Source organism: Homo sapiens, chromosome 21 (assembly GCF_000001405.40).
Source record: "Homo sapiens chromosome 21, GRCh38.p14 Primary Assembly".
NCBI classification, from domain to species: domain Eukaryota; kingdom Metazoa; phylum Chordata; class Mammalia; order Primates; family Hominidae; genus Homo; species Homo sapiens.
Window position 1 is genome coordinate 22189095 of NC_000021.9, and position 8921 is coordinate 22198015.

Sequence of the window (8921 nt, forward strand, 5' to 3'; positions counted from 1 at the left end):
TATGGATAAAAGATTCAAGAATTATGGACATATTTCTATCCCAAAAGATAAAGGTTTTGCTAAGTTGATGGCACTACCGGCTATTACCCTTTGCTCTTTCCTTATCTATACACTTTCAAGTGTACCCTTACAGTGCGGTCTATAACGGGCAAGGCTTTCTGCACTGCCCCTTGATTCTGAGCTCAGTCACTTGATTAACTTTTTTTTCTTATAAATGTAAGGGTATAAGTGCAGTTCAATTACATGGATATATTGCATAGTGGTGAAGTCTGGGCTTTTAGTGTAACCATCACCCAAATAATGTGCATAGTACCCATTAAGTAATTTTTTCTCCCTCACACCCCTCCAACGCTGTCAACATTCTGAATCTCCGGTGTCTATTATTCCACATGCTATGACCATGCGTACATATTACTTAACTCCCGCTTATAAATGAGAACATACAGTATTTGGCTTTGTGTTTCTGAGTTGTTTCTCTAAGACAGTGGTCATCAATTCCATCCACGTTACTACAAAAGACATAATTTTATAATTTTTATGGGTAAATCGTACTCCATCTATGTTGCTGCAAAAGACATTATTTTATGGGTAAAGAGTATTTCATTGTTATATCACATTCACCTTGAAATGTTAGCAAGCATGACAAAGAGACAAAGAAGAATACTTTAGTATTTCAGGTACTGCACTTTTCCTCTGCTATCAACATGAGGAGGACATGCCTAGGCTAGTCCAGGGTAAAAGTATTAGAAATATATGGGCCAGAGTAATGAGGCATTAGATTTCTTCACCAAAACTATCATAGATCAACACAAATCTAACCAACACCCAACAAGCAGATACTCATAGCCAACCTAGCTTATATCAGGTAAAGCACTCAAATTCCTGAGCTAATACTAATGTCAATCAGGTTGTGCGATTGTAATGCAACATAATGGTCACAATATGTAACTGATACAATAGCGCAGAGAAGTGAATAAAATAACTATATAAGAAACTTTTCTGAAAGGACATTAATCCATTTTGAGGCTTGAGTCTCAGCATTTGGAAGTCTTCGGTATTAAAAATATCTTAATCATCATAGGCTTATGGATTAAAATAGCAAAGAGGATTACTTTCCTATTTCCCATTTGGAACCCTAGAGAAAGTTTCACAAAATGTGAGAGGTCTAAGTGATGCAAAGGGGTTGGAAATTGCAGGACAGAAAATCCTCCAAGTTTGTTAACATTTCTCATTCTATACACACCCTACTCTTCCCCCTCCATGACTGTCACTACCCTTCTGTTTTGTTTTTACAGGACCTGGGATGGAATTCTGAAATTATTGTGAGCCCCACTTCAAATCCACACCCCCTCCAAAACAATACATGAGAGATACCTTGTAGTATTGATACAGTGAGTTACCTGAAGGTCTGTAGAAGTTTGCGTGGGGCTGAGAACAGAATGTAATCTTAAAAGGAGATTCTTTGGGAGGCCGAGGCGGGCGGATCACGAGGTCAGGAGATTGAGACCATCCTGGCTAACACGGTGAAACCCCGTCTCTACTAAAAATACAAAAAAATTAGCCGGGCGTGGTGGCGGGCGCCTGTGGTCTCAGCTACTCCGGAGGCTGAGGCAGGAAAATGGCGTGAACCCGGGAGGCGGAGCTTGCAGTGAGCGGAAATTGCGCCACTGCACTCCAGCCTGGGAGACAGAGCGAGACTCCATCTCAAAAAAAAAAAAAAAAACAAAGGAGATTCTGTGCCCGCAGGGGAAGATACTTTGGGTACTCCAGCAGTAGATGCAGTAAGGATAGAGACAAAGCACAGAGAAAAATGTTAATGAACTAGAGTGTACCTTTGGATAAAGGGAGCATTCAAAAATTCTGGAAGACTAAGTATTTACCACTTAATAGACAAAATCTAGTTCTTGTTTATTCGACATGTATTTACTGATCAGCTGGTATGTGCCAAATATTGGTCTAGACTCTGGGGATGCAGCAAATAATTTTAAAAAGAGACAAAAGGTGAGACTGAGTAAATCTGAGTTACTGAAATAAATCAGAAGTGATTGTTAATTTACATGAATTTCATTAGGTATGATGCTTGTTTTCTGGATACTGAGTGTGAATGGTAAATTATGAGAAAGTTAAACAGTTATGGAGAAAAATAGTTAATTTCTACATATTTGAGTTAACGCTCCAGAACTGAAACCAATGTCAAGAATAAATGGTATATTTGATCTCTGATGAATATTTTTATATTAGCATGTTTATGAAGATATTTGGATTGGAAAGTAACTCAAGAAAAACAGCATGAATTTTCAGAATAAGTGAACATTGCCTAATAACAGAACATATCATTTGATATAACTATCCTTATTTATTTATGTATTTATTTTCTTTGCTGTAATGGAAAAACAAAAATTAGCAACTTAATTCAGGAAAGTACTGAGTATTTGTTTCTTTCTTATTATCTGTGAATGATAGTCTGAAATGTCAAAAGTGGTAATTATATGCAAAATAATATGACATAACTTTATAAACATTTAAAATGCATTAAAGTCCATTAAAATTATGCTTTGGTTTCTGAAAGTACAAAATGTCTTTCCTAGAAATACTTGTATGTTGGACCTGGCAGAACTACAATTCTTTCACATTTTAAATAACAACAATGTAAAACGAGGCTGCAGCTGTCTCAGAGGAACCCTCAATCAATTGTTTTTCTGCTTTTCCAGACTCTCATTTATGTAACTGAAACAGATATTGCCAACAGAGCAACTCCAAGAAAACATTACAAACCATTAAACAATAAGGGTTTCTGACCTGTTATTTTCTTCCACTAAGGGGAATATAAGGATTGAGAATAAACTGAAGAAGTCAAATAGCCAGATTCATTCAAAACAGAGCATGAAAAAAAAAATCAGAGCAAATTGGAACGTAAAGCTGTATCTCTAGCAGCTTCAGATCAACAAATACATAAACTTTTCATACAGTAACCTAAATAGTGGATTGACTAAGGCATAAATAGATAATCTAGGACTTGTTTATTCAATGTGTATTTACTGATCACTTGTATGTGCAAAGTATTGATCTAGATTCTGGGGATGCAGCAAATAATTTTTTAAAAGAGACAAAATTTTACTCTTTTGGATGTGACAAGATAGTATTTTCTTTCTTCATTTTTTCCTTTTATTCATTTATTCAACAAATATGTAATGAAGACCAATGATGAGGTGATAGTATGACGGTTCCTAAATCCACTTTGATGAATAGACAGGTTGATTTTCTGCCCTCATAACGCTGGAAGCATAGTGCATTTGCATGCCTCTAGAGTTGTAAAAAATAAGTGACTTGACTTTCCTTTCTAAAAATATTTATCTAAACTTTGAATTCGGAATGGTAAAATATGGGAAGTAAATTTAATTAATGGATCTAAAGTCTTTAATTGTGTTAAGTACCATGGGTGTTGCGAAGTTGAAATTCTATTAGTCTCCACTCTTTAGCAACCCTTTGATATATCCAACATTTTAACATCTGTTTTAAACTAATGATCTCTATTGAACTGTTACTGACTCTTGGTGCAAAAATGATTGCGGGTTTTGCCATTACTTTTAATGGCAAAGCCAATAAAACAATATTGTTTGTATTTAAATAATAAATTACGATTTTTGTTTTTAAAGTTATAAAAGGCATATTCATAGTCAACATAGTACAAATTCCTGCTTTGTGGACAGTGAAGGTATTTCATTATGATGCAATATGATTTTGTATTTAAAGTTTTAAGGGGCACATTCATAGTTAACATAGTTTAAATCCCTGCTTTGTGGACAGTGAAGGTATTTCTGTTGATGAGATCTCTCTGGCTCAACTATCCACTTAATTATATCCAGCTGGGCAGACTCAACTGCCAAGGCACAAAGAAACTCATTTGGTAAGTGAACCCTGGCCGAGATAGAAAAAAGAACTTCTTGGTTCTCATTTTCCCCACCCTATGCATGAATAGTTGACCAACGTCTATATAGAGTCTTCAAAATTATTGCAGCTATCATTTCACAAATTGCTCTTTTCCTGACAGCAAAGACTCACTCAGTTTTCTGAAATTTTGAAGAGACTCTTTATGGGAATACAAATGGTGGTTGTCAGAGAAAAAAAAAAGCGTGCTTTTTCATCAATCTGACTCAATAGAAAATGAAGTCTACCGTAAAGTTGTGCTTCTGTCATTCAAGGTCAAGAAACAGTTAAGTAACATCACTCAAAGGATTCTGAAGCTAGTCGTCCCTATTCTTGTTCCAGAATCTATGAGATTGCTTCTTCCTTTTTATGCCCTTTACCAAGGGGGAGTAAAGGAATTTTATAAGAGGGAGATTTTATTGCATAATAGAAGAAAATATATTTTTATGCCAGAGTGTTTCTATCCCTAATGTGGTCCCCAGGTTTCATTTACCTTCGACTCCACTTGATTTTACTCTGTACTTTCTTACACTATGCTCTGTGCTCTGGAACCCTGGATTTCATATTCTATATGGGTTATTGTATCCTCTGGCTTCTGGTTAGATACAGCTGTGGGAGTGAAAATTAGGGCATTAGCAGAAGAAGCCATGGAGGGTGGGTATTCGGTGCTGGCTACATTTAAGACAGGCAAGAGGTAGAGTGTCTGGATTTCTCCATGGAAGCCACAGTGCCTTTGGGGAAGTTATCTTTTACTATCATTTTCTCTTCTCAAGTTCAGGCTGAGAAGGACTTTCCCTATATGAGACTGCAGCGCTATCTGAACTGTTAGTATTTCTAGGCTGGAAAGAGCCAAGGAAGCAAAAAAATGCAGAAAGGTATATTAGTCTGTTCTCACACTGCTATAAAGAACTACCTAAGACTGGGTCATTTATAAAGAAAAGAAGTTTAATTGATTCATAGTTCCACAGGCTGTACAGGAGGCATGGCTGGAGAGGCCTCAGGAAACTTACAATCATGGCAGAAGGGTAAAGGAGAAACAAGCATGTCTTCACATGGTGGCAGGAGAGAGAGTGAAGGGCGGAAGTGACATACACTTTTTATGATCAGAATTATAATTCAACATAAGATTTGGGTGGGGACAAAGAGCCAAACAATATCAAAGGGAGATGATTATCTCTCGCCAGTCTCTCTCAGCTCCAGCAAAGAAGCACTTTGACTCCTCAGTTAGAGGGTGCTTTGGAAAAATTATTGAATCTCTTGCACTGTGGGATGCCCTAAAACTCTGGTTCCAGCACCAACGACACACGCAACAGAAAGAGAAAGACCAGAATTTCAATTGCCTTGTAGAGCAAGGTACAATTTTTGAAAAATAAAATAGAAAAAAGTCTGAAAACATTAGTTAAATTATTTTCACTTAACATTTTCACAATATTTATGTTTCTAGAAGATAAGCCTAATGAAAACTTTATTTTGTTTTCATTGTATTTATTAGTTATATTTTATTGTGGTAAGGCCACACATGATATCTATCTTCTTAACAAATTTTGAATTGTACAGTACAGTATGGTTTACTGTAAGCACTATGCTGTAGAGAAGATCTCCAGAATTTTTTCATCTTCCTTAACTGAAACTTTATACCATTTGAAGAGCAACTAGTCATTTCTTTCTCCTCCCATACAGTGTAAATTGCCATTCTATTTTCTGCTTCTATGAATTTGACTATTTACATCATCTCGTAAAAGGTATCATGCATAAAATACATATCTTCATAAAAGGTATCATGCAGTTGCCGAGACCAGCTCGGTTGGGGAGACCCTAACCCAGTGGTGCCAGAGGAATTAAAGACACACACACAGAAATATAGAGGTGTGAAGTGGGAAATCTGGGGTCTCACAGCCTTCAGAGCTGATAGCCCCTAACAGAGATTTACCCACATATTTATTAACAGCAAACCAGTCATTAGCATTGTTTCTATAGATATTAAATTAACTAAAAGTATCCCTTATGGGAAACGAAGGGATGGGCCAAATTAAAGGAATAGGTTGAGCTAGTTAACTGCAGCAGGAGCATGTCCTTAAGGCACAGATTGCTCAACCTATTGTTTGTGGCTTAAGAATGCCTGTAAGTGGTTTTCCACCCTGGGCGGTGCAGGTGTTCTTTGCCCACATTGCGGTAAACCCACAACCTTCCAGCGTGGGCGTTAGGGCCATTATGAACATGCTACAGTGCTGCCGAGATTTTGTTCATGGCCAGTTTTGGGGCCAGTTTATGGCCAGATTTTGGGTGGCTTGCTCCCAACATACATATCTGCATAAAAGATATCATGCAGTATTTGTCCTTCTGTTGCTGGCTTATTTCTCTTACCATAATGTCCCTGATGTACATTCATGTTGTCACAGATCACAGAATTTCTTTCTTTTAAGGCTGAATAGTATTCTATTTGATGTATACACCATAATTTCTTTATGCAATTATCAGTCCATAGGCATTTTAATCTTTTCCACAGCTTGACTATTGTAATTAATGCTGAAATGAATATGGAAATGAAAATATATCTTCAAGATCCTGGTATCAATCTCTTTGAATGTATACCCAGATGTAGGATTGCTGGGTTATAAGGTTATTCTATTATTAATGTTTTAAGAGAATTTCATACTACTTTTTGTAGTATCCATACCGTTTTACATTTCAACGACAAAAAAAAAACATTTAATTGCTCCACAAACCCACCAATATTTATTTATTTAGATAATTATTTTAACAATATGAGATGACGTCTCATTGTGAATTGGATTTTTATTTCCCTAGTTATCAGTGATGTTGATCAATATTCATATAACTGGTGGCCATATGTCTGTCTTATTTGGAGAAATGGTGATTTAAGTCTTTGGCCCATTATTTAATTGGGTTACTTAAGTGGATTTGGTGGTTATTCTTTGCTTTTATTATGTTTTGCTGTTGAATTATAGGGGTCCCTTATATATTTTGGATAATAACCTCTTATCAGATAAATGTTAAGCAATTAGTTTTTCTCATTTTATTGATTGTTTTCTTTGCCATGCAGAAGATTTTTAGTTTGGTGTTATACCACCAGTCTACTTTTACTTTTCTTGCTTATGTTTTTACTCTCATAGCCAGTAAGTCCTTGCTAAGACCAATGCCTGGAAGCTTTTTCCTATGTATTCTTCTAGGAATTTTGCAGTTCAGATCTTAAGTTGACATCTTTAATCCACTTTGACTTGATTTTTAGGTAATATGTAAGATAAATGTCCACTTTCATTTTTTTCCATGTTGATATCTGCTTTTTCATATGTTATATATTGAAAATACTATTATTTTCCTATTGTGCATTTATGGCATCATTTTCAAAAGTCAGTTGACTGTACATGTATGGATTAATTTCTAGCCTCTTCACTCTGTCCCATTGGTCAATATGTTTGTCTGCATGCTAGTATCATACTGTTTTAGTTCCTGCAACTTTGAAGAATGCTTTGAAATAAAAAAAAGTGTTTGCTTTAGTTTTGTTCTTTATCAAGATTGTTTTCTCCACTCAGCATTTTTGTTGTTCCATACTAATTTAAAGTCTCTTTATTCTATTTTTTAAGTAGAGATTTTGAAAGAAACTGCATTAAATCTGTAGGTCACTTTGGGTAGTATGAACATTTTTAAAAATATAATACTTCCAATCTATGAATATGGGATACTTTTTCAATTATTTGTGTATCCTACAATTTCTTTCAGCAGTACATTATAGTTTTCCAATTACACATTTTTTATTCCTTGGTTAAATGTATTTCTAAGTATTTTAATTTTTGATGCTATGGTAAATGGGATTATCTTTTAAAATTTCTTTAAAAACAGTTTGTTGTTAGTGTGTAGAAACAAAATTGATTTTTGTATATTGATTTCTACCCTGTAAATTTACTGAACACATTTATTAAACTGGCAAGTTTTGTTGGTGGAATCTTCAGAATTTTCTACATACAAGATTATGTCATCTGTGAGCAGAGTTAATTTCACTTATTTCTTCTCAAATTGGGATGTGCTTTGTTTCTTTTTCTTGTCTAATAGCACTAGCTTGGACTTTTTGTACTATATTTAATAGAAGTACAAGAGTAGACATTCTTGTTTCTGATTTTAGAGGAAAAGCTTTCAGGGTTTTCATCTTTGAATATAATATTATCCAGAAGCTTTTGAAGGTGGCCTTTATTATTTTGAGGCAATTTCTTTTTATACAACATTTGTTAGAAATTTTTTTTAATCATAAAAGGGCATTAAATTTTGTCATTTTTTTCTTTCTGCATCTTTAAAATGACCATGTGATTTTTAGCATTCATTCTGTTAATGTAATGTATCAAATTAACTAATGTTTATATGTTAACACATATTTGCATCTTGGGGATAAATTCTACTTGGTCATGCTTTATGATTCTTTAAGTGTTCTCTCTCTGGAATTCTGTTGGCTAGTATTTTGACGAATTTTACATCTATACTGATAAGGTTAAGGGAGGAGACCACCCCTCATATTGTCTTATGCTCAATTTCTGCCTCCAAAGAAAAAAGAAGTGAAAACTAAAAGGCAGAAATCAAATCCACAGGCTGTCAGCTCAGTGCCACACCCTGGGCCTGGCAGTTAAAGATCGACCCCTGACATAATCGGTTATGTTATCTATAGATTACAGACGTTGTATGGAAAATCACTGTGAAAATCCCTGTCCTGTTCTGTTCCGTTCTAATTACCAGTGCAGGTGCATGCAGCCCCCAGTCATGTACCCCCTGCTTGCCCAATCGATCACGACCCTCTCACACTGACCCCCTTAGAGTTGTAAGCGCTTAAAAGGGACAGGAATTGCTAATTTGGGGAGCTCGGTTTTTGAAGATGTGAGTCTGCCGATGCTCCCAGCTGAGTAAAGCCCTTTCCTTCTACAATTCGGTGGGTTCTTGTCTGCAGCTCATCCTGCTACGAGGTGTTTTGACCTACGTTTTCTGATAGT

General features: G+C 35.6%; 1 annotated feature.

The window, feature by feature from the left end:
• Positions 421–1620: an enhancer, noted in NCBI's record as "MED14-independent group 3 enhancer chr21:23561834-23563033 (GRCh37/hg19 assembly coordinates)". NCBI's record gives its function as "activates an origin of replication core promoter dependent on BRD2, BRD4, P300/CBP and CDK7 cofactors, and independent of MED14, by STARR-seq in HCT116 cells {active_cell/tissue: HCT116}" and the evidence as "EXISTENCE:reporter gene assay evidence [ECO:0000049][PMID:35650434]".